The sequence below is a fragment of the Homo sapiens genome, chromosome 10 (genome assembly GCF_000001405.40).
Source record: "Homo sapiens chromosome 10, GRCh38.p14 Primary Assembly".
NCBI classification, from domain to species: domain Eukaryota; kingdom Metazoa; phylum Chordata; class Mammalia; order Primates; family Hominidae; genus Homo; species Homo sapiens.
The window spans coordinates 23,292,649-23,308,024 of record NC_000010.11 but is presented as its reverse complement, the minus strand read 5'-3'; the positions used below and the strand labels follow the sequence as shown (position 1 = coordinate 23,308,024).

General features: G+C 42.5%; 1 protein-coding gene across 11 annotated transcripts in view; it reads left to right on the top strand.

The window, feature by feature from the left end:
- The window catches only part of C10orf67 (chromosome 10 open reading frame 67), a 142,882-nt gene that overhangs the window by 36,773 nt on the left and 90,733 nt on the right, over positions 1–15,376 (top strand). For 9 of the 11 annotated variants that reach the window (XR_930487.2, XM_017016031.2, NM_001365862.2 and 6 more), the window contains one exon: positions 4,566–4,721. Coding sequence is in view for 10 of the 11 variants with exons in the window: in XM_017016031.2 (XP_016871520.1) it covers positions 4,566–4,721 (156 nt within the window). In the remaining variant the exon portion in view is untranslated. Of the gene's footprint in view, positions 1–4,565; positions 4,722–5,064; positions 5,945–15,376 lie in introns of those variants that run through there. The other 2 variants (NM_001351306.2, XM_011519445.3) reach the window with 2 other exon arrangements.

Below are 15,376 nucleotides of genomic sequence, written 5' to 3'. Positions count from 1 at the left end.
TAAATGTGTGTTGACCTTAGCAGAGTGTTTGAGCTGTAGACATATGTAAGAATAGATGTAAAGACTAGATATACATAATCAATACTCTTGTTTAAAAATCACAAAATTTAAGGCCAGGAGCGGTGGCTCTGTAGTCCCAGGACTTTGGGAGGCTGAGGCAGGCGGATCCCTTGAGCTCAGGAGTTTGAGACCAGCCTGGGCAATGTGGCAAAGCCCTGTCTCTGCAAAAAAATTACACATATTAGCCAGGCATGGTGGTATGTGCCTGAAGTCTCAGCTACTTTGGAGGCAGAGGTGGAGGCAGAGGTGGGAAGATCACTTGAGCCCAGAAAGCGGAGGTTGCAGTGAGCCGATTGCATCACTGCACTCCAGCCTGGGTGAGAGTGAGACCCTGTCTTAAAAAAAAAAAAAAAAAACTAAATAAAAAATCTAAATAAATAAAATCACAAAATTTTAAAAGCTGATATTGGATATTGTCATATGGAGTATTCTTTTTCACTCTTTTTAATTCTACTGTACATTCATTTTTTCATACTGTATAGATTATGCCAGTGCTGTTCATAGCCACCTTCATATATTATTCTTCTTAGTCTGCTGGTATTCATCATATTAGGACAATTTGAGCTTACAAATCTAACTCTTTTGAAATATAACATTAAGTATATTAGCAGATATTACTAGGTTTTGCTATATTTCCTGTATGTTGTATGTACCCAAATATATTAGTAACAAACACACAAAGAATCAAATGGTTTCTTTATAATTTCAAAAAGAGTCCAAACTAAACCACAGGTTTTGCATAACAGTGTTGAAAATAAGATTTTTAAATGCTGGAAGTAAGTAACATTATCCACTTTTAAAGCATTTCATCCTTTTTTTGGTTTTGTAATATAGTTCTTCAGAGTAATGAATGCAGATAGGAAGCATCTAAATGCTTAAAACAAGATGTCAAGGTGTATTACTTCTTTCAACATCTCCATTCCAGTCTATTGAGGCAATTAGTTGCACCATTGATGTTTACTTCCTTTTCTACATATTCAAATTTTTACTGTCTTCCCTTCTAGAGGAATATTAAAGTAGGATATTCACAAATCGTGATGTCAATTTACTATTAGGATTTACTATTATTACCTTTTTCCAGCTTTACTGATGTATAATTGACAAATATAAATTGTATATATTCAAGGTATACAATGTGATGATTTGAAATACATTGTATAATGATTACCACAATCAAATTAATTAACACATACTTCCAGTTACTACTGTGTGTGGGGTGGGGGGCGGTGGCAGTAAGGACACAAGATCTGCTCTCTTGGCAAATTTCAAGTAAACAATACAGCGTTATTAACCATAGTCACCATACTGTACGTTAGATTGCCAGAACTTATTCATCTTATGACTGAAAGTTTATACCCTTCGACCAACATCTCCCCATTTTCCCTGTGCTCCAGCCTTTGTCAACCACCATTCTTTTTTTTTTTTTTTTTTTTTCTGAGATGGAGTCTGGCACTGTCACCCAGGCTGGGCTGGAGTGCAGTGGTGCTATCTCGGCTCACTGCAACCTCCACCTCCTGGCTTCAAGTGATTCTCCTGCCTCAACCTCCCAAGTAGCTTAGATTACAGGTGTCCGCCACCATGCCCAGCTAATTTTTTGCATTTTTAGTAGAGACAGGGTTTCACATGTTGGCCAGGCTAGTCTCGAACTCCTGACCTGATGATTTGCCCGCCTAGGGCTCCCAAAGTGCTGAGATTACAGGCGTGAGCCACCGCGCCCAGCCTGTCAACCACCGTTCTACTCCCTGCTTCAAGTTCAACTTTTTTGGATTCTACATATTAATGAGATAATACACTATTTACCTTTTTATATCTGGCTTATTTCACTTAGCATAATGTCTTCCAGGTTCATCCATCTTGTCCCAAATAGCAAGATATCCTTCTTTTTATGGCTGAAAAATATTCTATTGTATTAATATATACATTGTACATACTACCATTGTAAATATTCCATTGTGTGTGTGTGTATGTGAGAGAGAGAGTGTGTGTGTGTGTGTGTGCGCGTATGTAACGTTTTCTTCATTCATCTGTTGATGGATATTTAGGTTGTTTCTATATCTTGGCTATTGTGAATAATGCTGTAATGAACATAGGAATGCAAATATCTTTAAGATCATGATTTTATTTCCTTTGAATATATACCCAGAAGTAGGATAGCTGGATCATATGGCAGTTCTAGTTTTAATTTTCTGAAGAACCTCCATACTATTTTCCATAATGGCTGTACCACTTTACATTCCCATCAACAGTGCACAAGGGTTGCCTTTTCTCCATACCGTTGCCAATACTTGTTATCTCTTATCTTTTTGAAAATACTCATTCTAATAGCTCATTCTTATCATAATGAGGTAATATCTCATTGTAGTTTTGATTTGCATCTTCCTGATGATTGGCGATGTTTCATGTAACTGTTGGCCATTTGTATATCATCTTTGGAAAAATGTTTATTTAGGCCTTGGCCCATTTTTTAATCTTTTCTTTTTAAAAAAATTTTACAGAAGGATGTCTTGTTATGTTGCTCAGGCTGGTCCCAAACTCCTGGCCTCGAGTGATCCACCTGCTTCAGCCTCCCAAGTAGCTGGGATTATAGACACAAGCCACCATGCCTAGCATTTACTATTGCTTTATTAAACTTCTAATTTTGTTAATGCATTGTTTTTCTTGATTTGTTCAACTGCATATCTGTGTTCTCTTGCGTCTCATTGAGCTTCTTAAAGATAATTATTTTGATTTACTTATCAAATGATTTGCAGATCTCCATTTTTTTGGAGTCAGTTACTGGAACTGTATTCATTTTCTTGAGAGTGTCATGTTTGCCTGATTCTTCACTAACTATATAGCCTTATGTTCGTGTTTGTGCATTTGGATGAGCAGACACTTCCTCCAGTCATTACAGACTGGTTTTGGTAGGTAAAGATTTTCTTCTTTTGGGTCCCTAAGCTGATAAGATTGCCTCCAGGATTGCAGTTGAGTAGGGTTGCAGCCGAGTTACGTGGCTGCTGCTGGGTCTGCAATGGGGACCATGTTAGTGGGCCTATTACTAGGGGCTTGAACAGGCTTGGATCCTGTCTGGCCCCTGGAAAGAATAAACTGCTTCCAGGACCTTAGTCTGTAGAGTTGGTGCTGGGTAAAGAAGATTCTTCAGGTTTCACAGTTGGGTTTGCAGATGGTGGGCCTGTTACCAGACACACAGATGAGTGTGTATTCCTTCAGGTCCCTTGTAGTGTTCCTGCTGGGTTACTGAGTTGGTACCTGGGCAAGGAGAAGTGGCCATGGACCATGGCTGACAGGAGCTTGAAGGGAATTACAGGGCTGCTTCATGGCTTACACTGAGACTGGGGTCTGCAGACATGCCTCCAGAGACATAGAAAGGTGTGCCTCCTGCCAGGCTCCTGGGCAAGCAGGACTGCTCCTGGACCATGGCTGAGTGGGCTCGAGCTGGGTCACGGGGCTACTTCAGGCTTCTCCATCAGACTGAGGTCAGCAGCTTGCCTCCAGAGGCATTGATGGGCATGTTTCCTGGCAGATCTCTGGGTGGACAGGACTGCTTCTGGATGAAGGCTAGGAAGGGACAGAACTAGGTTGCAGGCCCACCCCAAGATCTGCAGTGGAATCAAAATCAGTGGGCCTGCCTTTGGGGCACAGAAAGGCATAGCTTTCAGCAAGCCCCTGGGTGGGCAAGACTGCTCTCAGACTGCAGCTGAGAGGGCTGGGACCAAGTTAAAGGGCTGTTTCAAGATCTGCTGTGAGACTGAGGTCAGCCAACCTGCTTCTGAAGGCACAAATAGGCATGACTCCCAGCAGGTGCCTGGGCAGGCAGGACTGGTCTCAAACTGCAGCTGAAAGTGGGTTTGGTTGAGTTACAGAGCTGATTCAGGATCCACAGCTGAGACTGAGGCCTGTGGGCTTGTCACCAGAGGTACAGGTGAATGTGATTCCTCCTGGATTTCTTGGCAGATGGTTCTAGAGGCAGGACCAAGTCCACAGGGCAATGAAGCAATTTCTGGGTTTGTAGCTGGGACCATGGTCAGTGAGCCTGCCACCTAGGTGCAGCCTGCCAGTCAAAACAGCCCTCCTCAGTCTTGGGCTCCACTAGAGTTTTGCAGTCTTCTATCCAGGTCCCAAATCTCCCTCAAGGGAACTTTTGTCCACGGATGGCTGCCAAATTCTTGTTGAGTAGACGTTCTCCTAATCTTCCATCTCGCTCTTTACTATTGTAGTTTACATGGCTGATACAGTAAGAGTAACTGACCATGCTTTGTGTTTTATAGGATAACACTGTGCTACATAGTGCGTAATACTTTTTAAGCATATATTTCAATATAAATAAAGTTGCTTACTAAAATTGTATGCAGGTTACAAAAATAACCTTCACAAAACAGTAGCTTAAAAGATGAAATGTTTTCTGGTGGTGTCTAATTTTTAATGCTGAGTGTCTAATTTAGTGTAAGTGCCTAATTTTTAATGCTTAGTGTCTAATTTTTAATGCTGCTTTTTTTTGTCCCTAGCAATTCTTTGAGGTAGAAGAAGAGAATGTTTCTTTGCAAGATGCGAGTACTGTCAAAACAAATATTTTGTTAAGAAAACTGAAAGAGAAAGAAGAAGTTATTAAAGAATTAAAAGAAGAACTAGACCAATATAAAGATTTTGGATTTCACAAAATGGTAAGTTTCAAGGCAAGGAATAATTAATTTTAATATACATAAATAAAGTCATAAATAGTTAAAAGCTTGAGTTAATGATAAATTAAAATCCAATTGCTGCATTTTGGGCATCTCCCCATAATATAAGCCAGTCTAACTCTTTTCTGCTCAATGGCCTATTCTAGAAAACCCATAACAATATGAATAGGAGCAATATAATGAATAGGAGCAATAAAATTAAAAATACAATTTTTGTTTAAATGGAAATAAAATAACTTACCTCCCACTGCAAAAAATGTCCTACTCTAGAAGAGTGTGGGAGTGGATTTTTGTTGTAACCGAAGACTCCCACCTTTTTTTGCAGTCAAAGTAGTTTGAAAGACACAAAGCTAATCTTTCCAAGCCAGAGCTTCCAAGAAGCCAACTTGGAACAGAATGACATTTAAATAAAAATATCAAGAAGAAAAATCCCAGAGGATTTTCCCCTCAGTTTTTCCTGTTGCAGTGGGAGCCAGGAGCTGCTTTACTGGTTAGACAAACTACTGATGGGAGCAAAAATGGAATGACTGAGAAGGCAGAAAGAAGAACCTAAACTCCTGTCAAGGAGGAAGTTTAAGGGCTTTGGAAAATGTGGATCCTGAGAACGAATTCATTGTCATCTCATGTCTGCTCTGAGCCACCGGATGTCCCAGGCCCAACCATGGTCCAGAGCTGGAGAGGATTTTATTCTTAAGTTCTAAGAACAAGAAGCTGATTGTTTGATTTGGAAAGGCTAACAGATGCTGGGACCCAGGAGGAATAAAAGTCTATTGAATAGCAATAGCAGGTATCAGATACTTCATCGATGGCATCTCTTCTCATTCTCACAGTTCAGTTTGCAGATGAAGAGGCAGAGACAGGGTGGTTAAGTAACTTCCTCATGGGCAAACGTAGTAGATGGTAAAGATGGTACATGAACCAAGGTTCACCTGAATCTAAAGTCCACTTACAGAGGGGGAGCTTTATCCTCTACAGTAAGAATTAAAGGTTGTAGTGAATATATAATATACATATGCATATAGAAAATGTACAGATTATAATGTATAGATTATGTTATCATAATATATTATAATATGATATATTATAATACATTAATAATTATTAATAGATTAATACACATAGAGGGCTACCCTCTTTGGGTCCTCTCCCTTTGTATGGGAGCTCTGTTTCCACTCTATTTCACTCTATTAAATCTTGTAACTGCACTCTTCTGGTCCGTGTTTGTTACGGCTTGAGCTGAGCTTTCGCTCACCGTCCACCTCTGCTGTTTGCCGCCATCGCAGACCCACCGCTGACTTCCATCCCTCTGGATCCAGCAGGATGTCTGCTGTGCTCCTGATCCAGCGGGGCGCCCATTGCCGCTCCCGATCAGGCTAAAGGCTTGCCATTGTTCCTGCATGGCTAAGTGCCCGGGTTGATCATAATCGAGCTGAACGCTAGTTACTGGGTTCCACGGTTCTCTTCCATGGCCCATGGCTTCTAATAGAGCTATAACACTCACTGCATGGCCCAAGATTCCATTCCTTGGAATCCATGAGGCCAAGAACCCCAGGTCAGAGAACACGAGGATTGTCACCATCTTGGAAGAGGCCCACCACCACCGCATGGCCCAAGATTCCATTCCTTGGAATCTGTGAGGCCAAGAACCCCAGATCAGAGAACACGAGGCTTGCCACCATCTTGGAAGTGGCCTGCTGCCATTTTGGAAGTGGCCCACCACCATCTTGGGAGCTCTGGGTGCAAGGACCCCCCAGTAACATTTTGGTGACCCACATGGGACCTCCAAAGCGATGAGTAATATTGGGACCACTTTCGCTTGCTATTCTGTCCTATCCTTAGAATTGGAGGAAAATACCGGGCACCTGTCGGACAGTTAAAAACGATTAGCGTGACCACCGGACTTAAGACTCAGGTGTGAGGCTGTCTGGGGAAGGGCTTTCTAACAACCCCCAACACTTCTGGGTTGGGGATATTGGTCTGCCTGGAGCCAGCTTCCACTTTCAATTTTCTTGGGGAAGCCGAGGGCCGACTAGAGGCAGAAACCTGTCATCCCAAACTCCTGGCAGTAGCCGGTTGAGATCATGGCACAGCCAGAAGTTTCTACTCAACAGTCGCCCATGCGTGCACCCCTACCTTTCCTTCTGACCCATATTCCCCGATTATGCCCCCTCCAAGCAGTGGGAGGAGGAGAATTTGGCCCAGCTAGAGTGCATGTACCTTTTTCTTTCTCAGACTTAAAGCAAATTAAAATAGACCTAGGTAAATTCTCAGATAACCCTGATGGCTATATTGATGTTTTACAAGGGTTAGGACAATCCTTTGATCTGACATGGACAGATACAATGTTACTGCTAAATCAGACACTAACCCCAAATGAGAGAAGTGCCGTCATAACTGCAGCCTGAGAGTTTGGTGATCTCTGGTATCTCAGTCAGTTCAATGATAGGATGACAACAGAGGAAAAAGAATGATTCCCCACAGGCCAGCAGGCAATTCCCAGTGTAGACCCTCACTGGGACACAGAATCAGAACATGGAGATTGGTGCTGCAGACATTTGCTAACTTGCGTGCTAGAAGGACTAAGGGAAACTAGGAGGAAGCCTATGAATTATTCAATGATGTCCACTACAACACAGGGAAAGGAAGAAAATCCTACTGCCTTTCTGGAGAGACTAAGAGAGGCATTGAGGAAGCATACCTCTCTATCACCTGACTCTGTTGAAGTCCAACTGATCTTAAAGGATAAATAAGTTTATTACTCAGTCAGCTGCAGACATTAGAAAAAAACTTCAAAAGTCCACCTTAGGCCCGGAGAAAAACTTAGAAACTCTATTGAACTTGGCAACCTCGGTTTTTTATAATAGAGATCAGGAGGAGCAGGCGGAATGGGACAAACGGGATAAAAAAAGGCCACCGCTTTAGTCATGGCCCTCAGGCAAGCGGACTTTGGAGGCTCTGGAAAAGGGAAAAGCTGGGAAAATCGAATGCCTAATAGGGCTTGCTTCCAGTGCGGTCTATAAGGACACTTTAAAAAAGATTGTCCAAGTACAAGTAAGCCACCCTCTCATCCATGCCCCTTATGTCAAGGGAATCACTGGAAGGCCCGCTGCCCCAGGGGACAAAGATCCTCTGAGTCAGAAGCCACTAGCCGGATGATCGAGCAGCAGGACTGAGGGTGCCTGGGGCAAGCACCAGCCCATGCCATCACCCTCACAGAGCCCCAGATATGCTTGACCATTGAAGGCCAGGAGGTTAACTGTCTCCTGGACACTGGCACAGACTTCTCAGTAATTTTTTTTTTTTTTTTTGAGACAGAGTCTCGCTCTGTCACCCAGGCTGGAGTGCAGTGGCGCGATCTTGGCTCACTGCAAGCTCCACATCCTGGGTTCGCGCCATTCTCCTGCCTCAGCCTCCTGAGTAGCTGGGACTACAGGCGCCCGCCACCACACCCGGCTAATTTTTTGTATGTTTTAGTAGAGACAGGGTTTCACCGTGTTAGCCAGGATGGTCTTGATCTCTTGACCTCATGATTCGCCCGCCTCAGCCTCCCAAAGTGCTGGGATTACAGGCATGAGCCACTGCACCCGCCCCCTTCTCAGTCTTACTCTCCTGTCGTGGACAATTGTCCTCCAGATCTGTCACTATCCAAGGGGTCCTAGGACAGCCAGTCACTAGATACTTCTCCCAGCCACTAAGTTGTGACTGGGGAACTTTACTCTTTTCACATGCTTTTCTAATTATGCCTGAAAGCCCCACTTCCTTCTTAGGGAGAGACATTCTAGCAAAAGCAGGGGCCATTATACACCTGAACATAGGAGAAGGAACACCCCATTTGTTGTCCCCTGCTTGAGGAAGGAACTAATCCTGAAGTCTGGGCAACAGAAGGACAATATGGACGAGCAAAGAATGCCTGTCCTGTTCAAGTTAAACTAAAGGATTACGCCTCCTTTTCCTACCAAAGGCAGTACCCCCTTAGACCCAAGGTCCAACAAGGACTCCAAAAGATTAAGGACCTAAAAGCCCAAGGCCTAGTAAAACCATGCAATAGCCCCTGCAATACTCCAATTTTAGGAGTACAGAAACCCAACAGACAGTGGAGGTTAGTGGAAGATCTCAGGATTATCAATGAGTCTGTTGTTCCTCTATACCCAGCTATACCTAACCCTTCTACTCTGCTTTCCCAAATACCAGAGGAAGCAGAGTGGTTTACAGTCCTGGACCTTAAGGATACCTTTTTCTGCATCCTTGTACATCCTGACTCTCAATTCTTGTTTGCCTTTGAAGATCCTTCAAACCCAATGTCTCAACTCACCTGGACTGTTTTACCCCAAGGGTTCAGGAATAGCCCCCATCTATTTGGCCAGGCACCCAAGACTATTAGCCCAAGACTTGAGCCAGTTCTCATACCTGGACACTGTTGTCCTTCGGTACATGGATGATTTACTTTTAGCCGCCCATTCAGAAACCTTGTGTCATCAAGCCACCCAGGTGCTCTTAAATTTCCTTGCTACCTGTGGCTACAAGGTTTCCAAACCAAAAGCTCAGCTCTGCTCACAGCAGGTTAAATACTTAGGGCTAAAATTATCCAAAGGCACCAGGACCCTCAGTGAGGAATGTATCCAGGCTATATTGGCTTATCCTTATCCCAAAACCCTGAAGCAACTAAGAGCGTTCCTTGGCATAACAGGAACTGCCGAATATGGATTCCCAGGTACGGCGAAATAGCCAGACCATTATATACACTAATTAAGGAAACTCAGAAAGCCAATACCCATTTAGTAAGATGGACACCTGAAGCAGAAGTGGCTTTCCAGGCCCTAAAGAAAGCCCTAACCCAAGCCCCAGTGTTAAGCTTGCCAATGGGGCAAGACTTTTCTTTATATGTCACAGAAAAAACAGGAATAGCTCTAGGAGTCCTCACACAGGTCTGAGGGATGAGCTTGCAACCTGTGGCATACCTGAGTAAGGAAATTGATGTAGTGGCAAAGGGTTGGCCTCATTGTTTTTATTTTTTTGTTTGTTTGTTTTTTTGAGACAGAGTCTCACTCTGTCGCCCAGGCTGGAGTGCAGTGGTGCCATCTCGGCTCACTGCAAGCTCCGCCTCCCAGGTTCATGCCATCCTCCTGCCTCAGCCTCCCGAGTAGCTGGGACTACAGGTGCACACCACCACGCCTGGCTGATTTTTTGTATTTTTAGTGGAGATGGGGTTTCACCGTGTTCGCCAGGATGGTCTCGATCTCCTGACCTTGTGATCCGCCCACCTCAGCTTCCCAAAGTGCTAGGATTATAGGCGTGAGCCAACATGCCCGGCCGGGTTGGCCTCATTGTTTACGGGTAGTGGTGGCAGTAGCAGTCTTAGTATCTGAAGCAGTTAAAATAATACAGGGAAGAGATCTTACTGTGTGGATATCTTACGATGTGAATGGCTTACTCACTGCTAAAGGAGACTTGTGCCTGTCAGACAACTGTTTACTTAAATATCAGGCTCTATTACTTGAAGGGCCAGTGCTGCGACTGCGCACTTGTGCAACTCTTAACCCAGCCACATTTCTTCCAGACAAAGAAGAAAAGATAGAACATAACTGTCAACAAGTAATTGCTCAAACCTATGCCGCTCAGGGGGACCTTTTAGAGGTTCCCTTGACTGATCCCAACCTCAACTTGTATACTAATGGAAGTTCCTTTGTAGAAAAAGGACTTCGAAAAGCGGGGTATGCAGTTGTCAGTGATAATGGAGTACTTGAAAGTAATCCCCTCACTCCAGGAACTAGTGCTCAGCTGGTAAAACTAATAGCCCTCACTCGGGCACTAGAATTAAGAGAAGGAAAAAGGGTGAATATATATACAGAGTAGTATGCTTACCTAGTCCTCCATGCCCATGCAGCAATATGGAGAGAAAGGGAATTCCTAACTTCCGAGGGAACACCTATCAAACATCAGGAAGCCATTAGGGAAATATTATTGGCTGTACAGAAACCTAAAGAGGTGGCAGTCTTAGACTGGTGGGGTCATCAGAAAGGAAAGGAAAGGAAAGGAAAGGAAAGGAAAGGAAAGGGAAATAGAAAGGAACCACCAAGAAGATATTGAAGCCAAAACAGCCACAAGGAAGGACCCTCCATTAGAAATGCTTATAGAAGGGGACCTCTAGTATGGGGTAATCCCCTCCAGGAAAGCAAGCCCCAGTACTCAGAAGAAGAAATAGAATGGGGAACCTCACGAGGACATAGTTGCCTTCCCTCAGGATGGCTAGCCATGGAAGAAGGAAAAATACTTTTGCCTGCAGCTAACCAATGGAAATTACTTAAAACCCTTCACCAAACCTTTCACTTAGGCATTAATAGCACCCATCAGGTGGCCAAATTATTATTTACTGGACCAGGCCTTTTCAAAACTATCAAGCAGATAGTCAAGGCCTGTAAAGTGTGCCAAAGAAATAATCCCCTGCACTGCAGGCCATACATTTCAATCCCTGTATCTTTAACCTCCTTGTTAAGTTTGTCTCTTCCAGAATCAAAGCTGTAAAACTACAAATCATTCTTCAAATGGTGCCCCAGATGCAGTCTGTGACTAAGATCTACCACAGACCCCTGGACCAGCCTGCTAGCCCATGCTCCGATGTTAATGACATCAAAGTCACCCCTCCCGAGGAAATCTCAACTGCACGACCCCTAGTACACCCCAATTCAGCAGGAAGCAATTAGAGCGGTCATCAGCCAACCTCCCCAACAGCACTTGGGTTTTCCTGTTGAGAGGGGCACTGAGAGACAGGACTAGCTGGATTTCCTAGGCCGACTAAGAATCCCTAAGCCTAGCTGGGAAGGTGACCGCTTCCACCTTTAAACACAGGGCTTGCAACTTAGCTCACACCAGACCAATCAGATAGTAAGGAGAGCTCACTGAAATGCTAATTAGGCAAAAACAGGAGGTAAAGAAATAGCCAATCATCTGTTGCCTAAGAGCACAGTGGGAGGGACAATGATCGGGATATAAACCCAGGCATTCGAGCTGGCAATGGCTACCCTCTTTGGGTCCCTTCCTTTTGTATGGGAGCCCTGTTTCCACTCTATTTAACTCTATTAAATCTTGCAACTGCAAAAAAAAAAAAGTACACATAGAAATATCGACACATGCATACAGGAAAATCTGAAAAGTTATATGTCAAAATGTTAACACTAGGAAGAAACACTTATGGGTTGCTCATGCCTTTGAATACAATTTATGGTTTATCTAAATCCCTCACTAGTACTCTTATTTAAAACTTCAACGTTATAAGAGATAATGAATCAAACACAAACCATTCTAAAGGATCGTATTTAAACTGGTTTAAATGTTTGCTTTAGGTGTTTACTTTGTTAATCTATTAGAAATCTTTATATCTAGAAAAAATTGAGCACCTTCTAAGCAATACAGCATTGTGTCAATAGCATAGATCTAATAAAATTGAATATTAATTTTTGTATATATCTTGGACTAGGAAGCACATTCAATTTTTGCATTTGCCTTTGAAAAACCTTTTCTTGGGTTTACATTTACTTTTACTTTTTGAAGAAAACAATTTAATAGAAAAGACTAAAAACTGTAATAGTTTGCTTTTAATCCTGCCTTGGCCAAAGACATCCAGTGTAGATGTGGCAAGGCAATTTTGATCCATTTATTTCCCATTTGTGAAATGCAACATGATACCCGCCTGGCTAAACTAGAGAGTTATGATAAGAACACCTGCTGTATTGAATGTAAATTGCTTCAAGTTCTTTGAAGAAATATTCATGTATCAATTCAGGTATTATAAGGAAATGCACAAATCCTTATGGCCATCCGTTTATGTTCCATAAAATGTACCAAACAGACCTCTGGACTGTTGAGAACACCCCAATTGGGTAAGACAGCTCCCTATACTCTTGAAATATTTACACCTCTAACTTTTCTCTTCAGCTGGTTACCTGGCCCAGCTGGACATTCTGGGGAAAGCGTGAGGATGGGCTGTGGCTTTGTGAAAAGGAGAGCAGGTGGGAGCCACACCGGCTCATATGTAAGCAGGCTGTTCTCTGGCTTTCAGTGGCATCCAGAATACTCTGGTTATTCCAATGTAGTTAGTCCCCAAAGAGCACATTAGAATTTCTGTAAACACTCTTAATATTTGAGGAAGGTGAGGTGATTCTGATTAACGGGGTGTATGGATTTCTCCTGGAGACCCCGACAAAGCATACGTGTCTGCTCTCCCCTCCTGACTGCTCTGCTCTCCCCTCCTGACTGAGGGTGATGGAAAGCATACGTGTCACCATTTCAAGAACACAGACATGAATGCCACAAAGGCAGGTCATAGCTTATATCAAATAAAATGAAACACACTTTTTTCCTACATTCTCTAAGAACAAACTTTCCTAAAACCTTAAGTTCTAGATGATCTTTTTTATTTGAAATTTCATCTGATTCAACTGCCCCCTCTAGTGGTATTTTAAAAACCCCTGGGACACCAAGTCTCAAATTAGATTGGGAACACGGGATTTGGAAAAACAATTAAAAATTTCAAAGTAGCAGTGGAAGTAAGTTGAAAAAAAAAGTGAAATAAACAAGTTTTATTTAGTTTATCTACAGTTATCTAGTTTACTCTTACTGATTATCAAATTACTTCAATAGCTTTATAATTAATAAGTAGTTGTAATTTCTCATCTCCAGATGGGAACATCCTGAATGTCGAATTTTCCCAAGAGCAACTTCATTCAAGGGATGAAATGTTCAGGTTTTATTCGGTGGGAAATCAATGTGACTCAGCTGCATACCATTGTAGCCATCAGGTTTCCATGCTGTCCGTTGGCTAATCCTCTTGAGAATTTATAAAGGAGGTTAGCCTTTATGTCTCTGTAATTGTGTGTGTGTGTTTCTGTGTGTGTGTGTGTTTCTGTGTGTGTGTGTGTGTGCCTGTGCATGTGTTTTAATTTCAATTGGAGCTGGCATTTTGAATAGACTTTTTATTTTTCTTATCCCAACACTGATGAGCCCTGCAACCATCACCCACCTACCTTCCATTGCGAGCATATCTGCTTGTTGCTGACAGCTCTGAAACAGAGCTGTCATTCAAGAGTGGCAGCTCTGCAGGGTTGCACTGCCCAGAGTGCCACTTTCCTGGTTGTCACTCATTGGGAAAGCACCTGCTCTTCTCTGTGACTGTCATGAGGCATGGGCTTGCATCAGAACTCTGCTCCTCCCCAGAAAATTGAGATGTCCAATTCAATGGAGCCTGTGGAGGGGAAACTGCTGAGAAGGCACAGAAAGTGCTCTGAAGCAGGACTTCTCAGACTTTACTGCTCACATGCATCACCTGCAGATCTCGTTAGATGCAGACTCTGACACAGTAGCTCTGGGTTGGGCCTGAGGGGCTGCATTTCTAATCAGTTCCCAGGTGATGCTGAGGCTCCTGGTCCATGGACCGCATTTGAGGAGCAAAGCTCCCAAGTACACCTGTTTTCAAAAATGATTCTTTCGAGATTCAATTTGGGATTCAGTTTGTAATTCTATGCATCTTGTGAATATTCACAAAAGATATAGCACATATGCCACCACCTGAAGCCCTAGTTTTTATAATATGAAAGAAAAACTTGAGATTGGTAAGTTTCTTTACAATTTTGAAATTCCAGAATGATCATGGATTGCACACAGTCTCTCTTATAGTGTGGTTTAAACGGCTACATCCAGTTAACTGCCTTTAATGATCTCCATCCTTCTTAACCTCATTTTATTAAGGCAGTTTATTTTTTAAAAGTCTCCTGGTTTAAGCAAACACAAACTAGCAGTGTGGGCAGATGGCAGAAGGAACACCACCACAAAACCTGCCACTCAGAGTGTAACAGAGCACCGTAGCAGCTCAGAACGATCCCTTTGTTCATTTTGCTAATGAGTGTCCTCATTGCTGTGGGCGTCTGAATAGTTAATTACTTGCAGTTCCCACAGCTGACAGATGGTGGGGACAGAGCTAAGGGTTAACCTTGGAAGAACAGGGGTTGTGGTTTGATATGTGGAGGACAAACCCCCGTATTTAATGTGTTTTCCTTGCGTCCTGCTTTCATACAAAGAGATTCTTAGAACCCGTAGTTAGGTATTAGCTGCTACCATTTGTAAATTTTACACTTCATCTGATGAATTCAAATAGTTCTTCTTTAGTTTATGAGAATCGGGTGCTCATGTAATCCTCTGTGGATGTTCATATTCTGCCACTGTTAGGAAAAGTATGCTTAAGCCTATTAAGGCCAGTATTGTTTGTTTATTTCTTTCCACACACACACACACACAAAACCTTTTAGTCTATAAATGCATTCTGTGATGGTCTCAAATTGAACAATGTGGGACAAGAAATTAATGACGGATTCTTCGTTTATTAAGAAAACAGTGTTGTTTATTAACTACTTACTAGGTTTGTTAGTTCTCATTAGTTAAGATGAATTGGGCTCAAATAATTTAAGTGAAATGGTGAATCAAAGTCATGAAGATTTGTAATTGAGCTTAGTGCAAAATTTAAGAACATATTTTAAATATTACTAACTCTTACACACACACACACACACATATATATACCATACGTAATTTCATTAGTAAGTCACTTGTTTTAAAGGACTTATTAATGTACTACAAAAAATTTAAAT